Genomic DNA, 24,946 nt, shown 5'->3' on the forward strand with positions numbered 1-24,946 from the left:
AAAGATACATCTTCTCTACCCACATTGTAATATCTCTAATATTGGAAGACATCTTACAGCATAATACAGATAGAATTATTTTCTTCTAGTGGTACATAAAAAAAGTACACATGGTACAATTAGTGAAGTACTGAATTTGATGAAATAACTGGTGTATTTTCTGTCCCAACTTGCCCCAAAGCCCTACTTTTCCTGAAGTTAGAATTTAGTCACAGACAATAAAAAGGTGGTGTGGTTCTCTTCTTCCCTGCGGACAGTCCTGCTGAGTGGAAATGGGCTCCCAATGGTCTCTACACTGCTCACCCCAAGCCACTGCCTTTTAAAACACAGATCATTGGTAGAGCACTCTGGAAACTTCTCACTCTGTAAAAGAGGAATTTGTAACTTGGTCCAGATTTGAGATGACTGTACTTTCTCAGCATTTTGCTTCAGTTTGATCCAAATTTTACTGTTTCTAGTAGACATTTCATCGTGGTGTATATTACTGGATTGTGGTCACTCTATAATTTTAACACAAAAATTTTACTTTTGGTTCCTTTCGTTTACAATGTTGGTTTTAAGGACTGAAATAATGTGCCTGATCCGCCATCTTTCCCAGAAACTCCTGATCATATTTTCAAAAAGTTTATTACAAACATTATTTTGATGTTGCTATTTTCACTTAGAAAGTATTCTAAAAGAAGCTGAACAGTTATTTATGAAAATAATGGCCATGATATTTTTGTAGTCCTATGAGGTCAGCAAGAACCTAGGAAACTTCAGATACTATATATTCTTTGGTTGGATGTGAAAAAAGGAACTAAGAAATTTAATTGTTATTTTCTAAAATAAGACCAAACAACAAAGAATACTACCCCAGTGCAAAAAAGTTAAAATTAAGAGACTATTCTGTTGGATATATTACATATGCAAATAGACTAATAATCAGGAATATAGGTTTATTTCATTAAAAAATAAAACAAAACAAACCAGACTCATCCCCCAAAGAGTACTTTATCCTTTAAAGCAGCAGCAATCACAAGGCACATATGTACAAAATACCTCAAGCAAAATAGAAACTGAACATTCAAAAAGTATGTGTTGTTTAAAAAGATGTTGAAGACCATTTGAGTAATAAGCACAGGTTATAAAAATCACAATTTTATTCTTCTACCTTTAACAAGAGAAGGAATGATGGCATAATATTTATATGCTATATTGTGGCACGTATAACAAACCTTTACACCACATAACCTGGTTTGCTAAAGAAAAAACAGGTAAAGTACTGCTTAAAAATGGTATTTTTAGTGCTTTCACATCTTTTGTAGATATCTGGAATTTGTAAGATGAAAAGAAAAATTCTCTTTTTCCTTGGCTTAGTAAAAGCCTGTAGTTACACGTCCCTAGGCAAACCCACCATACAAAAAAGGAATACATTTGAGATATTCTAAAATATAAAGGATATGATTTATATTATGGGATCAACATAATAACCAACTCTCTTCCTAAAACAGATTAGAGGTGAACACATAAGAAATGTAAAGAAAGGTTAATTACATTAAAATAAAATAGCTTCTGATTTAAATTATTGCTCACTTAGGAAGTATAATGAATATTCTCTGGCTAAGGATGCTCAGATTAGAAATGGTGTGACATCAATATTTAGTGTGTACAAAAGTTCTAAGATTCAAATACAATGCAAAGTTTATAATAATCACACAAAAAGTGTTCCTTTTAGCCACCATTTAGCTTCACACAACGAAGACTGGAAAATACGTGGTTTATTTAGATCTTCAATATAAATTTGTACCACATATGTTGAAGTGTTCCTCTTAGCTTTAATGTTGCAGTCATTTTTCTATGAAATACTAAGGAGTTAAGGAGTGCTTACTGAACCATTACTATTAGAGGGAGGGAAGAGACACTGAAGCTCCAGTTTTAAACGACAACAAAAGAATATAAAATACTAGTATAAGAAAACATTTAAATAGTACTAAATGCACAATTTAAACATCAGTTATACACTGTCATTAGTTTTCCTCTTAAAAAAATCAGTTCCTGGGCTTTTAGATGTGTTTTCTTTTTAAAAAAAATAAGCATCCTTCTCATGGTCACACAATTGGTCCATACTGACACCATTTGGTAACAATCCTATCAAAGATCCACATGTTCTTGCTCTCTTTCAGGCCACTCCATGGCCAGCGGGAGTCTTGAGTCCTCTCTGCGTGTTGTGTGGCAGGAGGCCATGGTCCCGGGACTCTGCCTAGAGCAGGACGGCCTGGGCTACCTCCTTGATGGTGGACGCAGCTCTCTCCAGTTCTTCCTCTGTTTGTTCCACCGTGACCACAACCCGAATGCTGAGAACAGTAAAGGACACAAAGAATTATCTTTGTGGGCCAGGCGCAGTGGCTCACGCCTGTAATCCCAGCACTTTGGAGGCCAAGGCAGGTGGATCACGAGGTCAGGAGATCGAGACCATCCTGGCTAACACAGTGAAACCCCATCTCTGCTAAAAATACCAAAAAATTAGCCAGTGTGGTGGCGGGTGCCTGTAGTCCCAGCTACTTGGGAGGCTGAGGCAGGAGAATGGCGTGAACCTGGGAGGCGGAGCTAGCAGTGAGCCGAGATCGCGCCATTGCACTCCAGCCTGGGCAACAGAGTGAGACTCTGTCTCAAAAAAAAAAAAAAACCAAAAACAAACAAACAGAAAAAAGAATTATCTATGTGAGGTGAGGAACTGCACTCACAGTCAACCATATATGGCCTGAGAGCCAAATCCACTGCCTATTTTTGTAAACAAACCTCTCCTGGCAGTCCTCCCAATAGGCCTGTCTATTCATGTACCTGCTGCCCACAGTCACTTTCTCACTACTGTGGCAGGTGGGTTGCTGCGGCAGGGAATCTGCAGCCTGAAGGCCTCGGCCTACACCACACCAGTGCACACCCAGTCAGAGTGAGTTTCCGTGGGCTCTGCCTCAGAAGCTGGGAAATAGCATCCTGTCCATCATGTACTGCTTCAGGCAGTGCCAGGCACAAAGCAGGAATTCCATCCTTCTCAAATCAACGACAGTTTGATTGTTCGTATTTATGTCAATAGCAATGTGAAAGCTCTGTAATACTCTAAGGCATGGCAGAAATTTTCAAGTTTTCAGGAAATCAAAGAAATAATAGCTTGAAAGGACAATGCTACCTCTGTCCCCCAGAGTTCATCTGTAAACATCTGTTTCATGCATTTGACACATATTTATTGAGCTGTACTATGCTGTGCATGGAGTCCTGAGGGCACAAAACCAGCACGGCTCCCGTCCTCATGCACCTACGGTCTTACTAACAAGTAAACGTAGGATGTAGGATTACACCTTTGGATGAGTGCAATAAAAAATGAAGGGGGCAGCCCAGGCTGGAGTGCAATGGAGTGATCTCAGCTCACTGCAGCCTTGACCTCCTGGAACCAGGTGATTTTCCCACCTCAGCCTCCCAAGTAGCTGGGACCACAGGCGTGCACCACTATGCCTGGCTAATTTTTACAGAGATGGGGTTTCACCATGTTGCCCAGGCTGGTCTTGTACTCCTGGGCTCAAGTGATCTGCCCACCTCGGTCTCCCAGGTGTTGAGGTTACAGGTGTGGGCCACTGCACCTGGCTGAAAAGGGCAGGCTCCTTAAGGTGCTTTGAGCTGCTACCAGAGTGATCTTCCAAATCCTGGTCTGGCACTGTGGGCCGGCAGAGCATTCAAACTCCCCAGTGGGCTCTCCTGCAGCCTCCCTGACTTGGCACCTGGCCTCAGGACCCTTCTCTCCAGCTCTTCTGCGGCTTGCACTCTGTACTCCCAGATGAACCTGGAGGTCTCCAAGCCACTGAAAACCCTGAGCAAAGCACACACCACCTCATCTGATGGAAAGCCACGATGCCCACAGGATGCCCGACACACACACTTCTCTAGTTTTGGTGTAGACATCGCCTGCTCTCAAAAGCCTGAGCAATGCCCCAGGGCAGAACTGACCATGTCCATGCCCCCTGCTGTGACTGCCTGGCCCAGTGCTGTGGTGGGATGGCCAACTCCTTGGACTACCTCGTATATGCTTTGTGAACAGAATCCAGTCTCCTTAAAAGTAAGACATTAGTCTTTCACTTTTGGTGTTTTTTCTTGATGCTGTACATTTTCCCCACTGTTGCTTGTTTTTTCTCAAATGTTACTGAGTGTTGCTGACTGAAGGAGCAGCAGAGGCGCATGCCCACCCCCACCCCACACTGCCGATCTTCCCTGCAGGACGGTCCTTGTGGCAGGAACTCCTGGTGTGGCATGTGCCACCTTTCAGATGTGGCAGATATGAGCTGATGGAAACTCAGTTTGCCCAAGTTCATTGCTGGGCTCCCAGACATTTCTCTGAGTTAACTGAGAGGGTACTCAGTGAGTCCTTGGGAGCTTTTCAGTTAAAATTTTAGAAACTTCTAGTTTAAGAGCAGAAGACAGGTAATGTACTATATTTTAATGACAGATATTCTTCCATAGCCTATGATAGTCTTTCAAAATTTTTCAAAAGATAACGTATTTCATAGAGCTCAGAGTAGGGGAAAAAAATAAGGTCATATTTTAACGTCAACTGACCTGGGAGGAGGGAGACACTTCTCTTCTTTCTCCAAGTAGCGCGCCTGAGTTAATGCAATACTTCTGTTCATGCACTGTAGGAAGAAAAAGAAGACATCTGCAACCTGGACTTCAGACATGGTGGTAATTAAACTGGGGGAACGCTGAAATCCTGCAACGGTAGCTTTAATTCACTTTTCCAATTATAATTGCTAGAAGATATCACCAAAATACTACACCACCACCTTGGCAGCACTGTCCACAGAACTTTCTGCAATGACAAATACCTCTGTTGTGTAGTGCCCAGCAGTCGCCATGAGCCCTGTGTGCCTGCTGAGCACACGGAGATATGGCTGGTGCTACTGAGAGGTCACAGTTGCACCTTTTCTTATTTCCACTTAGTTTAAATTCAAACAGCCATAGCTAGCTAGTGACTACCATTTAGACAAAGCAGAGTTAGCACATGAGGAAGTGGTGCGAGCAAAGTCCTGCAGGCTGGACTTATGACCACCACCACCAGTAGAACTGCGTCAGAGAAAAACCACTGCACTTCAGATATTAGCAAAAACGATGTCCACATGTGGCATCTGGGCATGGTGCCACTGGGCACTGCAGAATCTGGCGTTAACAAAGTTTTACCCAGCTTTCCTATATATTAACCATCTGTCAACATTAAGAAAAAATGAAAACAATCTCTACTAAAATAAAGAAAGCACAAACACCAGAGCAAGGTAATAGGCTACAGGGGTTTCTTTCTGGAGTGATGAAAAAGTTTTGGAATGAGATAGTAATGGTTGCACAACCTGCTGAATGTATGATACTAAAAGCCACTTAACGATATACTTCAATAGGGTGAATTTTATGGTATGTGGTATGTGAGTTATATTAAAAAAAAATAGCAACAGAGCAAAGGGCAGTGTAAAGGAAAGAACAATTATTCCATGTCTCTGGCAGTAAAAGTATCTGCCTGAAGAGGGGTCACGTCGTAGGCTGCGAGGAAGAGATGGAAAAACCATACTAGGCAATGACAACAGCCTCCCGCTGACTCTAGGCTCTGGAAGTGTACTTGGAAAAGTGAACTCCTGCAAACATCTGGACTGGCTCTGTTTCTAGCCCTGGCTGGTTAAGAGACATTATAAACAATAGCTCAGTTTGTAAAAACAGTGTCCTGTTGAGCAACTCAACATAAACTTGGCAAAGCCTCTCAGATCTACAAAGCTTAAATAAGAGTTACAGCAGCATGGTTCTTTTCTTTCCTTCAAATATTGAAAAGATGAGGGGAGTGGAACAAAAGATTCGGAAGATTTTAAAAATGGAAGCTGTGATGATGCACAGAAGCGGGAAGATATATGTATTTTTTCTATCAATGAAGTTTCTAGATAGTATTCTGTTCCCTACCCCAGATTGTTCTCTTCTCACTCAACTCTCAAGAGGATTTCCTTAAGAGAGCCAGTATCAAACCAGGCCCACAGACAGGAGTTTGGGATCTGTGAGCTGTCCACAGACTTTTCGTTTCCTCTTTCATTACGTGGCTAATTCCTGTAAGCATGGTATTTTAACACCGAGTTGCTTCATTCGCACGTCCTCCTCTGCGTCTCTTTGGTACAAAGCAGTAGTAAGACTTTAGCTGTTGCTATCTAATGAAAAGAGAACAGAGGTGGATTTACTATGCAATGAATACACTGGCATCTGAAGGAGGCAACTGTCCCTCAACATGAAGCATGTGTGGACAACTGTCCTGATGCAGTTCGAGAAGAGACTCAGTGAGAACGGCGGAGCCATTACTCAGACCCAACACCAGCGCATGCAGCTCATGAGCCTGCTCTGTGAACACAGCTCTCAGCTGTCCCGCTGGGGCAAGTCCATTGAAAAAAACAAATTCACCTGCCTCATGAAGGTAATGAAATGAATGGGAATTTTACTGGCTTGTCCATTTAGTTTGTATTTAATGTATAAATGCGTTTTAGTTTTCCATTTGTATGAGAACTCTAATCACAAAGATGTCATACTTAGTTTTGTGTTTGTCTGTATTTAAGGAACGTTACAATACAAACAATGAGGCAGTAAAGCAGGCAGTGGGATGTTTTTCCCTGTCTAGAGAGTCTTCATGTCCACAGAGTTGTGCCTGAGGGGACATCAGCTGCATTTCCTCACCTCACAAGATAAGTAGCTCCAGCCTGATCATTCATAATCTGACATGTTTCCTTAGGAAGCTCAGATCCTGGGGCTTTTTATTTATTTTTTAATGTAATTGACTCTAGAAGACCACAAATTTTATGAAGTTCTCCACAAATCTGTTATTCCAGATTACGTGGCTCAAACATTTGGGACATAGGACAGCTGAAGCCAGCTAGGCAGCAGAGGCTGCCTGCACACCCGGTCTGTATACTGCACAGCCATGTGGCCTAGAAGAGCCTGCCTGAGAGGCTGTCTAGGCGGATGAGGCTCAGGACAGGGCCTGGCCTAGGAAAGGCACATGACAGGTGGTAGCTGCCATTATGACCCCAGAAACCTAGTAGCATTGCTCATAGCTACAGCCTCTGGACAAGGAAGCAGAATCATGCCCATTTTCATTCTCAAATACATACTAGGTATATGTCAGATTCTTCTCAAAGGAGCAGCAGCAGCCCACATAAAAGTCCAGATTCTTCTGAAAGCAGATGTCCAGCATCCCAGGACTTGGAAGAGGGGTGCAAGGTGGGTGGCATCCCACTGCCCGTCCTGAGTCCTTCCTGCCCAGGTTATTCCGCTGCTCTTCCTCCCCCTTTTAAAGAAACTTCTGTTGGCTCTGAACCACTGTAAACCCGCGTGCCCAGGGCAGGAAGCACTCTGGAGGGGTAGTGCTACTGGATGAAAAGGGGCAAGCAGTTTTCCCTGGTGATGTGTTTCTTAGACAATTAGTAGTAAAATAACTTTTGGAAGATAAAGAAATTTAAATAAATCTCCCCAAATTAGGTATGTTATAAAAAGCGGTCTTCCTTTCCGTTTACAAGAGCATCCTGACTTCAGGGTGACTGTGAGTGGACTGTCCCTGAGCTGTGCTGCGGGGACAGCCAGCCGTCCAGGAATGTGTGCTATGCCCACACACAATGCCTCCCCCAACTACACATAGGAAAGCCTGGCTTTGTAAAATGGTGAGCAAGTGAGTTTTCTGCAAGGCTAATTTTTCAGAGGAGAGGCCAAGTATATTTAAATGCAAAGTGGTACAAAACACAATATCTTTGGAGGGAGCCACACATTGACCCAATGGGAGGGCCTGCTGCCTGTTACCATGGCCAGAAGCTAGGAAGGACCTGGAGGATTAGGATTCCATGTCAAGAGCGGGTCACCAGCATCTTCCTTTCTACCCTCTTCTCTCTCAGGGCAAAGAGACTTTTCTTAAAAATTTAACATTAAAAAATTGCTTGGGGCAAGGGCAGAAGTGGTGTGGGGGGATGCCTCAAGTCAACGGATACTTACTTGATCTACAATTTCCTGAAGCAGTCTGACATCTTGCTCGCGAGACCCAGTGCTCTCTTCCAGTTGTAGGTGAAAGGCTGGAGAAAGGGACTCCCCCACCACTTTTAATCCAGAAATGCTGAAGAAGGGAAACACACACACAGCTGTAAGTCCCTTCCAGGCTTGAAGATCGCTCACGGAGAAATAATGTTAGAAGTCCACAATGTCAAGGCACAGTGAACGTACAGAAGCTTGCGACTGATGGGAAGCATCATTCCAATTCCAACAAAGAAAGGGAAACGAGGCACTCTGGGCAGTGCTTCCTCATCTAAAAAAGTCTGCCTGCAATGTGGCTTCCTGAGTGCAGGACCGGGTCTCATGGCCCCAGCCTCCCACCAGGGAGTCTGTGCCTCCTTACAGGCCCTCTGGGCCCCACCTTGGCCTGTCATTCCCTTGCCATGTGCTCCCTCGCCCCCAATGTTTGTTCTTCCCTGTGTTGGCTGCATGTGCCAGGGCCCAGCTCCAGCACTGCCTGCTGCTGGGGCCTTCTTCATCACCCACTTTAGGGAAGGCTCTGCTCCATCATTTGCTATTTTTCATCCTGTCTGGATCCTTCACAAGCTACTCACTACAGTTTATGTTATGCTTCCTTGCTTATTATCTATGTCTTCAGTTTTTGTCTCTCATAAATTACAGGGATGATTTCTAACATTAACAACATTATACCCCATCTCTACAAATAAAACAAAAACAAAAACAAAAAACAAAAAATTGGCCGAGTGTGGTGGCTTGCGCCTGTAGTCCCAGCTAGTTGGGAAGCTCAGGTGGGAGGATCGCTTGAACTCAGGAGGTCAAGGTTGCAGTGAGCTGAGATTGTGCCACTACACTCCAGCTTGGGTGACAGAGCAAAACTCTGTCTCAAAGAAAAACTCAACAAATACCAAACATACCTTATATTTTGACTAACAGCAATATGTTTAGATAGAAAAACGTCCTTATTTGCATGTTAAGTTTTAGATTTTACTTGGATTAAAATTATTTTCTTTTTACTTAGGATTAATAGCACAAAAATCTGTAGCTTCTCAAGGAGAAAGATAGATCTTTAGGGGCCAAATCCTGTATTTTTAAATTAAATTAAATTTAATCCTGTATTTTTACTACAGCTGCCATGAGATGCTATGTCATACTACTATTATTATTATTATTATTTTTGAGATGGCATCTCGCTCTGTCACTCAGGCTGGCTGCAGTGCAGTGGCACGATCTCGGCTACTATCTAGTCAGGTTCATTTAAAGTCTATTTTATCCTATAACAACAAATATTATTTGACTTTTGACCTACCTCCTAGGACACAAATGTGATATATGTCTATTTGAAACTGAGCTAAACATTTTAGATTCCTTTCATTTAGTTTGTTTCACCTAAAACGATTTGTTTTTCCCTCAGAATGAAATGACAATAAAAAGTACTAGGTAGCACAATGGCATCTTCCCAGTTTAGGACTCAACAAGCCTTTACAGAATGACTACTGTGTGTTACAATAATGTGAATTCTGGAAACTCATCTGACCTGGCCTTCCAATCACCCTTGGAACATTATTAATTAGCGTCTCCTTTCTTTAAATATAAATATATCATGCTAGATCTCTCAATAAAGCAGGCTACAGGTCTGAATCATGGAATCTTGAGCATGTGGAATGTGGGGGAACCTTCTAGATTAGTTCTTTACTAATGTAGAAACTAAGCAATACACTTTGAAAACCCATTTCCTGTGTAAATTCTGACCATGTTAAACGCATATATCAAGTATCTTTTTTTTTTTAAAGGTCATGTATTCTCACAGTATTAAAAAATTGCTTTCAGTCAGGTGTGGTGCCTCACGCCTGTAATCCCAGCACTTTGGGAGGCCAAGGCAGGTAGATCACCTGAGGTCAGGAGTTTGAGACCAGCCTGGCCAACATGGTGAAACCCTGTCTCTACTAAAAATATAAAAATTAGCCAGGTGTGGTGGTGGACACCTATAATCCCAGCTACTCGGGAGGCTGAGGTAGTACAATCGCTTGAACCTGGGAGGCAGAGGTTGCAATGAGCTGAGATCGTGCCACTGCACTCCAGCCTGGGCAACAAAAGCAAGACTCTGTCTCAAAACAAAAACAAAAACAAAAGCAAAAAACAAAAAAAACAACAAAAAAAACTGCTTTCCAAATAGCATTTCATATGAATCAAATGGCCTCAATTTTCCTCAAGAAATACAAGGCGCGATGGCTCACACCTATAATCCCAGCACTTTGGGATGCCAAGGTTGGGGGGATCACGAGGTCAGGAGTTCAAGACCAGCCTGACCAATGTGGTGAAACCCCGTCTCTACTAAAAATACAAAAATTAGCCAGGTGTGGTGGCACGTGCCTGTAATCCCAGCTACTCAGGAGGCTGAGACAGGAAAATCGCTTGAATCTGGGAAGTGGAGGTTGCAGTGAGCTGAGATCGCGCCACTGTGCTCCAGCCTGAGTGACAGAGCAAGACTCTGTCTCAAAAGAAAAAAAAAAAAAAAGAAAAGAAATACAAGGCACCTGAGGTCCAGATCTAACTTGTGCTTTTTGATCAAATGGTCTCATTTCACATGCTAGTGAGAGAAGGAATTAAACAAAATGCCCTGTCTCTGGTTGCCTAGATGCTGAATGTCAGATGAGTTTAATTAAAACCAAACGGACACAGTTATAGCTTGAGTTCAGCGAAGCCGTGTTTCAGAGTCTATTATACTATTCCTTAACAAAAGACTTTGCCAAACATATCATCTTATCCCAGTGGATAAACGAGCACTGGGCTAGCTCCCAGGGACAGAGCAATCACCAAGGTAGCCACGGTCTCCACTGTGTGCTTACAGTCTATAGGGAGAACCTGACACCAATAACTATCTCTATTACAATGAAAACAGAGGCAAACCAGCATAGGATGTTGACTTCCTTTCCCAAACTCAATCTCAGAGATGAGAGAAGTGAGAAATTAGAGAAAAATTGAACAAAAAAATTACTCAGAACTAAACATTGAAGATACTGCCTTTGAAAATATTTATCTTTAATATATTTATTGGAAAATACGAAATAAAACCAAAAGCTAAATGTAAGAAGCTGAAGAAGAGTAAGAACACAGTGCAATGAGACAGTGCATAAAAATAAGAAAACACACTATGATGAAAACACACAAAACCAAATTTACATAAATAAAAAGTTAAAATAATATAGATATATGAGAGATAATCAACAACTATTCCCAAACCAAAGGCCCCAAGCCTAGATGGCTGTAAAGTGGGAGACCTACTCTCAACTTCTGAAGAAACGATCAAGCCTTGTTTTACTCAGTGCTTCCATGAAGCAGAAAGAGTGGAAAATAGCCAAATCATCTACCGAAGCTACCCTAACACTGACTCCTATGTTACGTAAAGTTGGTACAAGGTTATAGATCCATTTAAATTATAAACAGATATAAAAAGTCAAATTAAAATATTAGCTAAATAAATCTAACAGTGTAGAAAAAGATATTATAATGAAGTAACGGTTTTCTCAAGAATGCAAGGATGGTTTAACATCAGAAAATATTTCAATGTAATTCAGCCATAAGACAAATTTATGATTTACCTTAATAGATGTAAAAAAAATGGATAAAGTTCAACGTCTATTTATGATTTTAAAAAAAGGCCTTCAAATTTAGGAATCATTTAGCCAGGTGCAGAGGTACATGCCTGTAGTCCCAACTAGTTGGAAGGTGAAGGCAGGAGGATTGGTTGAGTCCAGGAGTTTGAGGCTATAGTGTGTTGACTATATCTGTGAATAGCCACTGCACTCCAGCCTGGGCAACATAGCACAATCCTGTCTCTTAAAAAAACCACAAAACAAAACAAAACTAGGAATAATTCAATAAAAGCTACTCACCAAAAACCCATAGCATGATGTTTTATACTTAATGAAGAAGTGCTTCTATACTGGGAATAAGGAAGGAATGTTTGCTATTATTGCCACTGTTCAATACAAATTAGGGACTCAGACCAAAGCAATAAAATAAGAAAATGAACTAAGACGCAAAAGCATTAGGAAGGAAAGAGAGAACACCATTATTGCAGATAACAGGACTTCCATGCACATCATCATAACACAATGAAACAATTACTGGAAATACTAAGAGTTTAGAAAGACTCCTGGATATAAGGTCAGTTTAGAGAAAATAATAATATTCTTATGAATCAGCAATAATCAAGTAGAAAATATAACAGAAAAGACAACCCCATTCATAACAGCAACAAAATCTATAGGATGTCTGAAAATTCCCTTTAAAGGTTCCATAAAGGTACAAGGGCTTTATAGGAATTCCATTAAAGGACACAAAGGGAGATTTAAATAGAGAGCTCATGTTCATGGATGACATTTCCCTCCACATTCATCAGAAAATTTAATGCAGTTCCAATTAAGATTCTAGCAATAATTTTGGAGAAACCCATATTCCAAAACAGTGATAAAAACAGACACTAGTGATAAACCTGTATTCCAAAACAGTGATAAAAACAGACAAAATCAAAAGAGTCTGAGGAATGAGCAAATATACCAATGGAATGGAAGAGACAGTTTAAAAACAGATCTAGGTACAAATGGGAACCTGGTATATGATACAGTACTGTCAACCAGTAGGAGAAAGGATGTTTTATACTTAGCCAGATGTTATTCAGAAATTGATCTCAGTAATCTTAAACTGAAATATTCTTCTCTTGACCAATTTCTTTCTCCAGCCACCATCTTGTTTCTTAGTCCCTCTTCAGAGAAAAACTCCTCAAAACAGTCATCTAGGCCGTGTCCACCTGTCTGGAACCTCCTTCAAGCAGGCATTTTACCCCACACTCCCCTGAAACTACTCACCAAGTCATAATACCTCTACATAACGAAGTCAAAGGATCAGTGTTCTGTTATCTGGTCTGGCCTGTCAGCAGCGGCATGTCACAGGCTGACCTCCTACATAAGCAATTTCTTCCCTGGTTTCCAGGACTCTAGGCTCTTCCAGCCTGCCTCTTCCTCACTGGCCACTCTTTCTCAGACTAGTCTTTGCTAGTTTCTGACCTCTTCACACTGAAATGCTTCATATAATATCCATACCCCAAGACTCAAACATTTATCTCTAGCTCAGTACTCTCCCTCACACTTCAGACTTGTATATCCAGCTGCTGCTCTGCACTCCATGTCTGATGGGCACTTTGGGCTTAACATAACCACTGCTGACCTTCCCCAGAAGGTATTTCTCCACAGTTCTGTCCCTCTCACTCATTAGCAACTCTACCTATTTACTCTGACCAAACCCCCTGAGCTCTACCTGGAGTCTTCTCTTTCTCACTCACCCTGCATATGAACTTCTGCTAGATCCAGTGTGCTCTCCCTTCAGAAGATACCCAGAATCCAGACACTTCGCAGGTCATGGCTCCCAACATGGTCAGAGTCACTATCACCTTTCACCTGCGTCAATCTCCTAACTGGTCTCCCTGCTTCTGTTCTTACTGCTGTTCAATGTATTTTTTCACACCATGCAAAAGTAATTTTGCTAGGGTATCAGATAGGCTGTTTCACTTTTTTGCTCAAAACCATGCCAGGGCTTCCTCTGTGTGCCAATGTCCTCATCACGGCTCACAAGTCCCTGTGTGCGGATGGCCCATGACCCAGCCCTCATCTTCCACCAGATTTCCCACTCCTTTCCTCCTGTCACATTGGCCTCTTTGCTATTTTGTTTACTGTTCTCTGTAACCATCTAGATACCAGCACGGTTTGCCCCTGCGACCCTTATGAATGTGTGTTTACTGTGAGGTGCCATGGAGTCTTCCAACTGTGGATACTGAGTAGGCAACTGGGTGTGAGACCTGCAGCTGCAGTGGTCCAGGGTGGTGATACGAAGCTGGGAGCTGTCTCTATACAGGTGTCATGAAACGATGTGGAGCTCCAGGTGTGGGAGAAGGCAATTCTTCAAGAAGGTAATGAGAAGAAAAGAGAAGCACAGACAAAGCCTTGAAGAGCAAGGTGTTGAAAGAAAGCCTTCAGAGGAGACCGAGATGGAGCCATTCAAAGATGTAAAAGGAAATCCAGGCGTGCAGTGTAGCAGAGTCCAAAGAAGGAAAGAGTGGTCACCTGTGCTGAAAACTATGGGGACATCAAGAAGATGAGCTCTGAAGATGGTCCACTGGATTCAGCAGTCAGTGGAGACCTCCACAAAAACAGTCCAGGCGAAGGGCAGTAGCAGAAGCCAGGTCTCAGAGCTGCCAGTGTAAGTGAAGACGTGGAGATGATAGCTACTGAGAGGAGCAAAGACATGGGGAGTTGCAGAGGGAAACGTCAGGTGACAGGCAAGAGGAATTTAAAGTGGACATGACTGCTAATCAAATAACACAAGAAAGGGGACAGGCTGATGACAAAGTAGCAGGGACAAGCAAAGGCACTCAGTCCTTAAAAAAAGGGCCTGTGGTAGTTGGAGCAACATTTACTGGTCTACAGGAGGGAAGACTGGTTCAGATACCCACAGGTGTGTAGATTTGTCAGGAAATATGACAGAGTCCCAAGTGACAGCATAAGGCCAGGCTGTTAGCTAAAAGTGAGGGGAGTGAAGACAGAGGATTAGGAATTTTGGAAAGAAAAAGTGTGATACAGCTGGGGTAAGTGGAGATTAGACTTAGAAAAAGGCAGGTTAACACCATAGAGTGAAAGGCATGTAAGGCTAGCACTGATGCATTTCCAGTGACTCCAATATGCTAGGCTGTGTTGGCATATTAATATTTCACAAACCAATGGAACTGGAACCAATACAAATATATCTCTCTACCATAAATCATGCAAGAACTGCTGTTACTATCACACAGACACACCCAGAACTTTAATGTCTCTGCCCCTTCTTTATCTGGAACAGCTGTGATGTACTCATTTATCAATTGTCCTTTTCTTTCAGTTAAGTCTCCAGTTTCCATATCCGGAACACAGATAGGACTTTCATGACCAAGAAAGCATGTTTAACCTTAGGAAAGGCAAAAAGAAAGACCTCGGGCAATGTGAAATCACTTTATATAAGACCAGAAATGTGCCTGGAGATATCACCAACCTCCATTTTTTTTTTTTTTTAACTACAGAGGAATCTTAAAGAGTGACTCTTCTAGATGACAAGTTAGTGGGTGCAGCACACCAGCATGGCACATGTATACATATGTAACTAACCTCACAATGTGCATATGTACCCTAAAACTTAAAGTATAATAAAAAAAAAAAAAGTGACTCTTGTGTAGTAAAAAAAAAAAAAAAAAAAAAAAAAAAACACTGATAAAATTTCACTTGTTTCTTTTTCTTGTGTTAAAACTTAGTAATTTATTAAAAAGTAACACAGATGGTATGAACCCAGTCATCTAATTACATAATATATAATGGCATCCCTGTGTGTGCAGACATGGAGAGATGCTTCAGTGTTTACCCTGGTTATTTCTGGTGGTAAGATGTTGGGTTGTTATTTTCATCTTTCTATCTTCTGTACTGCTGTAATATTTTATTAATGAGTTTGTTTCATTTTCAGAAAAACAAAGTCACGATTCTTTAAAACAGATGATCTGGTTTTACACAAATAAACCAATGTGAGTGAACTAAGTTTTTGGTTTCTTAGCTGCAATCTGGTCAAACTGACCCAAGCCTAGAAATTTAAAACTTTCCATTAGTTGTTAAGTGTGGTGCAGATAAACTTTATGTTGGTTGAAAATATATAAAACTCACCCTTGTAAAGCTTTATGAATTTGTCCGCACTTTTCCTTCAACACTGCAAAAATACCTAGATGAAAAAAATACGTTTGAGAGTCTATTTGAAACTTATGATAGTACTAACCTAAAAATATTTTTGAAGACCCAGATCAAGTTCATCAATTTAAAATGCTACAAATCCTTCTACATACTAACAGAGCCAAGAACCCATACTCCCCTGAAGGCCCAAGCTTTGTCTCTGGTGCGTGCTAACTGGCCCCTTCTCACCTCAGTATCCCACTTTCAACAAACCTGGAATGATGCTTTCAAGAACAATCAATGCCTCTTGTTCTCATCAAGATCCTAATCTGGCTAAGAATCAAAGGGTACAAATTTATTGCTTATTTCTTTATCCTAAACAATTTGGTAAAAAATCAACTATAGTAAAGTAATTTTTACAATCTTTTCTTGATATTTTCCTTTTTTATTCAAGGAAAATCCCAAAACTAAAGTATCTGATCAGAAGGTAGGCGTGCCAGGCCATCTGAGAAGCAAGCATATGAATGAGCACAGAGACACACATTTTCTGGTTCTCTGAATTAGTATCAGTGATGAAGATTCAGAAATACTGTACCGGGTAGGGCCTGCTGCTCCCTTTCCGTTTTAAGCTTTGCAAAGGTGGCACTGTCATAGCCAAAGGCCACATTTTAAATTCTTAGTAGACTTTTTATTTTTCCCACTGAGTAAGTTCTTTGCTGGTAAACCCGGCTTGGCCTCAGTACCAACTGATGATTCAAAGGCTAAAGGTGAAAACTCACAATATTTATAAAATTGCACAGATAAAAAAGCAGCATGCTTCAGCTGATTTCTCAAAAAACTATTAACCAAATAAAGACTGGCTTATTTACACCAATGGAACGTTTAGGCCCAGAACTGGCTGAGAGCCCCTCGTCCTCCCAGCATCTCCACCCACTATCTGAGCTAGCCTTGCTTTGGCTCTGGCTCTGGCCCCAAGCACAGGAGAAAAGCTCTGACCCCAAGTCCTTGGGGCAGGAATAGCTTCTTCACTGCCATTCTTCCTATGAATGCCATATAATGTAACTGCAAACCAGTTTTGTCTGGCAAATAATTTCTCCAGTAAGTAAATCAGTAACACAACTAACGTAACCTGAAATCTCTTTGATTCCTTGGGTTTTTAAAGGGTTATACCTGGATTCTCTTCCATGATGTTGAGGGCCTCAATTGCTGCAGCAGCTAACAGGGGAGGTAACGAAGCTGAAAAGCAGTATCCCTGGCCGGAAAGTCGCTGAGAAGAAACAAATGAAGACATATACACATTCTCTGTCCTTTCTAGGTAAACATTTGAAAGGCACCAGTTCTCTAGAACAACTACTGAACAGTGTGTACATGTGGTGAGGGGGGTAAGATCCAGCCATAAATAAACATTATACGTGTAACAGCAACAAGACTTTTTGTTAAATGTGAGATCATTTCTAAATAGAAATATTTTGAGTGATTCTTTAAAAATTGACATTTAAATAAAAATTGTGTGATAAACTAAGTAAAATTTCGTATTTCAAAATTATATTTTGAGGTGACCAATGGAGAAATTAGTTTCAGTTTTAGCTCCTGTTTTTAAAAAGAACCCACCTGATGGTCAATTACAAAAGACCTGCCACAGCAGAAACCTCCAATAGAAGCAAGTGCATTCTCCATGTTGGCACTGATAAGATCAATATCATCAATCTGCCGGAAAAGGAGGAGTGACAGTTATTCCACAGTTTAAAGAAAAAAAAGGCCAACTTCAAGCCTAGAGACAAAATTTAACAGCATTAAACTGTCTGTTAATATCTGGATTCAAACTACCTATCTACATGAAAATAAAAAATAAACCATATAACATCTATCGCTGAATGAACTGTAGTCTCATGGCCCATCTGAAACTGTCTCATTTTATACATTTTTACCATTTCATTATACATGACAAATTAACTCACAGCAAAGACAAATAAATTATAAGAAAATAAAACCCAAAGCTGTTCGATATTAAAAGTAGTCACAGGTACAAAATAAGACTATTTCCTCGCTAAAACAGTGGTCTAGCTGGCCTTCCTCATGGGATGCACTGAGATAAATAAAAAGTCTATCGAAGTTTTGAGCACTTTATTCTTGTATTCAGTTTGCCTCTCAGCATTTCATAAGTCAATTTATCCAAACGTCATGGCGATGGAATCTTTGACCAACTGGACAGCAGAAGAACCTAATGTGCTCTAAAATGACCTAATGGGCTTTGAGTCCTACATCTTTCTGACCACTCAGAACTCCTTCGGTCCTCATCTTTGGGTCCAGCCCTCAGCACCAAGTTCCATTCTGGGCACACAGTAGGCATTCAATCATTACTTACTGATGGCCATGTTAATGGATTGTCAGAACACAGCTAGTGTTTTCCTTAGTGTTTCATAGATCCAGCAGAGTTTTGAGAAACTCTGCACTCCTGCCCTTTTTAAAAAGCATGTTTAAACCTTTCATTATGAAAAATTTCAAGCCTGAACAAAGTAGAACAGAACAAAGAATCCCCATCACCCAGATTCAAACATTATCAACTCAAGGACAACCTTGCTTCACCTATATCCCCTACCACCCTCATCATTTCTTTGTAGTGAGTCCCAGACTTCATGGGGTTTCATCTATAAACATTGCACTGTGTATTTCTAAAAGATAAAAACTCTCTCAAAACATAATCACAAAACTAGTATCATACTTAAGACATTAACAATTTTTAAATGTTAAGTTTAAATTTGATGTTAAATATATTCAAATATTCAGTGTTCAGATATCTCTGATTGTCTCACCAAATTTTCTTTTAACAGCATTTGTTTGAATCAGGATCCAAATAAAGCCCGTACATTCTGCTCTCTACTCTCAGGCGCTTGTGAGTATTTCCTCACAGTATTTCCCAAAGTGACAACTGCTGGAAGCATTCACAAAACTACAACAGTGAAGTTCAAGTTTTTTCCTCCATAAAAATTTTCATGCCTTAAAAAAGGCTGTAGTGTACTGCTAAATCTGCTTGAATTACACTTCCATTTATCTTTCCATTTATTCCATTTACCTCCTCGGTGCATGTAACTGCTGAATGTCAGTCTGCCTTGGAGGAGGTGCTTCCATCCAACCTCCCGGGATATTCACTCTGCTTTACATTTTTCTCTGGGACTATATGGTTAGCGGGATGTCGATAATGTAAGGCAATTTTACGTTTTATAGTTCAACTCTGTAACACAGGTTGCACAGCTCTTATGCGCATGTTTTGGAGAAAAAGCTTTCTGTAACTCTTCCCATGGTGGTTGGTAAGACAGCTGTTCAAGACTGGCTGACTTCCTCTGCCCTGAGGCTCCAGGAGCAAAACCCACTAGGCACTGCGGGCAGTCTGGGTCCATTTCCCTCAGAAAAGGAAACATGACACCTCATTCTGTTTGGGACTTTAAGAGGTTTTGCTGAATGCATGCCAGTGGTGTTTCTGACACACACACACATGCACACACACACGCACGCACGCGTAACTGTATCTACCTCCCACAAACACATTATATAGAATACAGATTTTTAAACACCAGAAACAGTATCCTTTCTCTGCCGTCATGAATACTTCTGAAAAGACCACTCAGGAAATTCCTAATGATTTTAAGAAATAATTGGAAGGCAAAATTTAACCATTTCTAGAGAAGAGACACTAAAAGTCTATTCGAATGAAACTTTGCAAACAGAGCACAAACCATGACTACCCACTCCGAGTTTATAAGTGCAGAAGGAAGATGGGGTTCCCTGGTCTGGCTGACTAGACTCATCCTGGGCTCACTGAGGTGACAGACACCAAAGTTTCGTGACCCTTCAAACTGATAAGGAACACTGTCTTGTGCCTATAAAAATATAGGCCTAGCAGAATGGAACTACATGTCTCCTATAAGAGGGGAAACGTTCTTAAAAAAGGGGAACTTACATTGATTCCATAGTGTTCAGTGACTCCTCGGCCATGCTCTCCTAGGACTCCAAATGAAAGGCTTTCCTCCAGGAAGATTCTTGCTTTGTATTTGTATTTTAACTTAACCTAAGTGTTATATAAACGTTAAAATACTAATGATTAGCACCATATAGAACATATTATGGAGAAAAAAATTAAGATTAAAAAGTATGTACAGCTGACTCTCAATACTTGTGAATTCTATATGTGCAAATTCATCTACTTATTAAAACTTATTTGCAACCTCCATATCAATACTTTTTTCCTGTCATCACGGATATGTGCATGTGCAGAGCAGTGAAGAATTTGAATTACCTGACACGTGTTTTCCCAGGTGAGGGTGAACAGGCGACTGTTTCAGCTCTGATCCTGTGAACAACTACCCTTTTCATGGCCTATTTACTGCCACTTTTTTGGACTTCTGTGCTTTTTGTTGGTGATTTTGCTATTTAGAGTCGCCCCCAAGTGTCATGCTAAAGTGCCGTCTATTACTCCTAGTGCTGTGATGTCCCTTATGGAGAAAATTTGTGTGTTAGAGAAGCTTTGTTCAGGCATGAGTGGTAGTGCAATGAATCAACAGACATTAAATAAGACACCTTTAAACAAAAATACACATAAAGCAAGTTTTGTGTCAACTGGTTGATGAAAATGTTGTAACCAGAGGCTCAGAGGAACCTAACCCTATTATTTGCCCTAGCAGCAATAGTTTAGTATTTCTTATTCCAGTGTTCATGGCAACTTTATAGAATATAAGTAGGGTGAATGATGAGAATCAATTGTCCTTTAGATGGTCTAAAATGATTCACTTAACAAAAGACAGCACAATACTGATTTTTTTTTTTTTTTTTTTGAGACAGAGTCTTGCTCTGCCACCCAGGCTAGAGTGCAGTGGTAGGATCATGGCTCACTGCAGCCTTGACCTCCTGGGCTCAAGTGATTCTCCTACCTCCGCCACCCAAAGTGTTGGGATTAAAGGTGTGAGCCACCATGCCCAGCTTCAGTGCTTATCTACACTTGAGCTGTTCCTACACTTCATCTTTAGTTTCGTATCTGTCCATTAGCACTGCTTCATTACTGTAGCCCTATAATATACGTCCTAGTATCTTCTGGTTCACTACCTCCCTCCCATTATTCTATCAACCATTGACACTCTTACAAAAACAAAAAGAAGAAAACAAATACATCTCTTCTATTGATACTTAAAATATATTTAGATTTCCTCAGAAATAGTGAAAACATTTAAAAACAACATATGGAACCCTTATTTTGAATCCTTATTCAATTAATAGACTCCTAGATTAAAATCTCAATGGCCGAATGCAATGGTGGTTCAACATGGAAAAATCAAATATGTATTACATACACATTAGAAGAATGTAGGGGGAAAAACCCCACATGATCATCCCAATAAATGCAGAAAAAAAATTTGACAAAATCCAACAACCTCTCATGATAAAACACTCAATAAATTAAAAATGGGAAGGAACTTCCTCAACCTGATAAAAGGTTATTATAAAAAACTCACAGCTACCATCATACTCAATGGTAGAAGACTGAAAGCTTTCCTTATAAGATCAGGAACAAGACAAAGATGCTCATTTTCGCCACCTGTAGTCAACACTGTAGTCGAGGTCCTAGCCAGGGCAATCAGGCAAGAAAGATAAAGGGCATCCAAATTGAAAAGAAACAAGTAAAATTATCTCTATTCACAGATGGTGTAATCTTATACATAGAATAAGATCCACAAAAGTATTATTTGAGCTAATAAATTCAGCAGAAGTTACATTATGCAAAAGCAATACACAAATATCTGTTGTATTTCTATAAATAGCAGTAAACAATCTAAAAAGGAAATTAAGGAAACAATTCCATTTATAGTAGAATAAAAAAATCAAATACTTAGTGATAAATTTAACCAAAGAGGTGCAGGACGTATATACTAAAAATCACAAAACATTGCTGAAGGAAATATCTAAATAGATGGAAAAATCCCAAGTTCATGGACTGGAAGACTTAATATCATTAAGATGGTAATACTTCCCAATGTGACTACATATTCAATGCAATCCCCACCAAAATCCCAACAATACTTTTTACAGAAATGGAAAAGCTAATCCTAAAATTCAAATGGAATTTCAAGAGACCCCAAATAGCTAAAATAATTTTGAAAAAGAACAAAGTTGAACTCACATGTCCTGATTTCAAAACTCACTACAAAGCTACAATAATTGACACAGTGTGGTACTGGCATAGGACAGATATATAGAAGAATGAAACAGAATAGAGTCTAGAAATAAACCCATACATCTATGGTCAATTAATTTCAACAAGGGTGCCAAGACCAGTCAATGGGGAAACATTAAACAAATGATGCAGGCAAAACTGGATAACCACTTGTGAAAGAATAAAATTGGACCTCTTCATCAACGCATACGCAAAAATGAACTCAAATGAACTACAGACCTAAATGTAAGACTGAAAACTATAAACTCTTAGGGGGAAACATAGCAATAAATCTTGATAATTTTGGATTAAACAAAGATTATTATTATTATTTTTTTTTTTTTGAGACAGAGTCTCGCTCTGTTGCCCAGGCTGGAGTGCACTGGCGTGATCTCGGCTCACTGCAACCTCCACATCCCAGGTTCAAGCAATTCTCCTGCCTCAGCCTCCCGAGTAGCTGGGATTACAGGCGTGTACCACCACACCCGGCTAATTTTTTTGTATTTTTAGTAGAGACGGGGTTTTACCATGTTGGCCAGGCTGGTCTCGAACTCCTGACCTCAAATGATTCACCTGCCTCGGCCTCCCAAAGTGCTGGGATTACAGGCGTGAGCCACCGTGCCCGGCCAGATTAAACAAAGATTTTAAAATAAAACACAAAAGCACAAGCAACAACAAAACACATAAACTGGACATCATCAAAATTTTTAAAAACTGTGTGTCAAAGGACAGTATCAAATAAATGAAACAAACCCCCACAAAATAGGAGAAAATATTTGCAAATCATGTATCTGATAAACATCTAGTATCCAGAATATACAAGGAATTCTTTTAAAAACAAAAAAACAACCCAATTTAAAAAATGGGCAAAGCACCTGAATAGATATGTCTCCAAAGGTATACGCATGGCCAAACAAACAAACAAACAAAAAAAAAAACAAGAAAAGAGGCTCAGCATCATTAGCCATTTGGGGGAAACAGGATCAAAACCACAGTGAGATACTACCTCATGCTCACTAGGGTGGCTAAAACAAACCAACAAAAAACCCTGGAAAATATAAGTGCTGACAAAGATGTAGAGAAACTGTAACCCTGGTATATAGCTGATAGGAATGTAAAATGGTGCAATCGCTGTTGAAAACAGTATGTCAGTTCCTTATTAAGTTAAACACAGAATTACCATATAATCCAGCAATTACCCTGCTAGATATATACATAAAAGAACTGAAAACAGGAATTCAAACAAATACCTGTACACAAATGTTCACAACAGCACTATTTGCAATAGCAAAAAGGTAGAAAGAACCCAAATATCCATCTGTGGATGAACATATAAAACAAAACGTGGTATTATCCATGCAATGGACTATAACTCAGCATTAAAAAGGTATGAAATACTGATACATGGTATACAATGTTAATGAACTTTAAAAACATCAAGTGAATGAAGCCAGAAAGAAAAGGTCATATATTATATGATGCCATTTATAGGAAATAACCAGAAAAGGTAAATCCATAGAGACAGAAAGCAGATTGGTAGTTGCTGGGAGCTAGAGGGAGAAGAAAATGGGGAGTGACTGTTTAATGGGTTTGAGGTCTTCTTCGTGAGTCATGAAAAGGTTTTTGACCTAAAGTTGATGGTTGCACACATGGTAAATGTAATAAATGTCACTGTCCTGTACAATTTAAATTGGTTAATTTTGTGTTATGTGAATTTCACCTCAATAAAGGAAATCTCAATGGTCATGGTTTCTAAAAACAGTTATGCTGCTTTCACTATTAAAAAGCTAAGTTTTGGCCATGCGTGGTGGCTCACGCCTGTAATCTCAGCACTTTGGGAGGCCAAGGAGGGTGGATCACCTGAGGTTGGGAGTTCAAGACCAGCCTGACCAACATGAAGAAACCTTGTCTCTACTAAAAATACAAAATTAGCCGGGCATGGTGGCACATGCTTGTAATCCCAGCTACCTGGGAGGCTGAGGCAGGAGAATCACTTGAACCCAGGAGCCAGAGGTTGCGGTGAGCCGAGATCGTGCCATTGCACTCCAGCCTGGGCAACATAAGTGAAACTCCATCTCAAACAAAAAACAAAACACAAAAAAACAAAAAAGCAAGCTATGCTTTCATTCATATGCAATTCTACAAAAGGTAAAACTAATCTACAGGAATAGAAAGTAGATTAATGGCTGTCTGGGGCCAACATGGGTACTCACTACCAAGAGGCATCAGGAAGCTTTCTGGATAAAGTTTTCTTTCTGGATAAACATTGTCTTACATAAAAATATTCCGTATCTTGACTGTGGTGGTGGATGGCTGCAGTGATACAGATGTATATACATCTGTCAAAACTTATCAAACTTTACCCTTAAAGTAGGTGTATTTTATACGTTGATTTCACCTAAATAAAGCTGGATCTTAAAAGCTACGTATGGCCGACTCAGTGGCTCATGCCTGTAATCCCAGCATTTTGGGAGGCCCAGGCGGGCAGATCATGAGGTCAAGAGATTGAGACCATCCTAGCCGACATGGTGAAACCCCGTCTCTACTAAAAATACAAAAATTAGCTGGGGGTGTCTGCGCACGCCTATAGTTCCAGCTACTCGGGAGGCTGAGGCAGGAGAACTGCTTGAACCTCGGGGAGGAGGTTGCAGTGAGCCAAGATGGCGCCACTGCACTCCAGCCTGACGACAGGGCAAGACTGTCTTGCGGGGGAGAAAAAAAAAGCTAAAGCTAAGTTTTGGCCAGGTGTGGTGGCTCATACCTGTAATACCAGCACTTTGGCAGGCTGAGGCAGGAGGATCGCTTGAGCCCAAGAGTTTGAGAACAGCCTGGGTAACGCAGTGAGACCCCTACTCCACAAAAAAGGGAAAAATCAGCCAGGTGTGGTGGCATGTGCCTGTAGTCCCAGCTAACTCAGAAAGCTAAGGTGGAAGGATCACTTGAGCCCAGGAGGGTAAGGCTGCAG

The 24,946-nt window shown here is 40.6% G+C and overlaps 1 protein-coding gene across 8 annotated transcripts in view; it reads right to left on the reverse strand.

The window, feature by feature from the left end:
• SPTLC1 (serine palmitoyltransferase long chain base subunit 1) overlaps positions 925–24,946 on the reverse strand; it is an 84,267-nt gene continuing 60,245 nt past the window's right edge. For 7 of the 8 annotated variants that reach the window (NM_006415.4, NM_001368272.1, NM_001368273.1 and 4 more), the window contains 7 exons: positions 19,738–19,845; positions 17,391–17,486; positions 16,950–17,046; positions 15,777–15,831; positions 8,026–8,143; positions 4,588–4,661; positions 925–2,336 (listed from right to left, as the gene is read on the reverse strand). In NM_006415.4, the coding sequence (NP_006406.1) occupies positions 2,243–2,336; positions 4,588–4,661; positions 8,026–8,143; positions 15,777–15,831; positions 16,950–17,046; positions 17,391–17,486; positions 19,738–19,845 (642 nt within the window). In that variant the 3' untranslated portion in view covers positions 925–2,242. The remainder of the gene's footprint in view (positions 2,337–4,587; positions 4,662–8,025; positions 8,144–15,776; positions 15,832–16,949; positions 17,047–17,390; positions 17,487–19,737; positions 19,846–24,946) is intronic. The other variant, NM_001281303.2, reaches the window with a different exon arrangement.

The sequence above is a fragment of the Homo sapiens genome, chromosome 9 (genome assembly GCF_000001405.40).
Source record: "Homo sapiens chromosome 9, GRCh38.p14 Primary Assembly".
Lineage (NCBI taxonomy): Eukaryota > Metazoa > Chordata > Mammalia > Primates > Hominidae > Homo > Homo sapiens.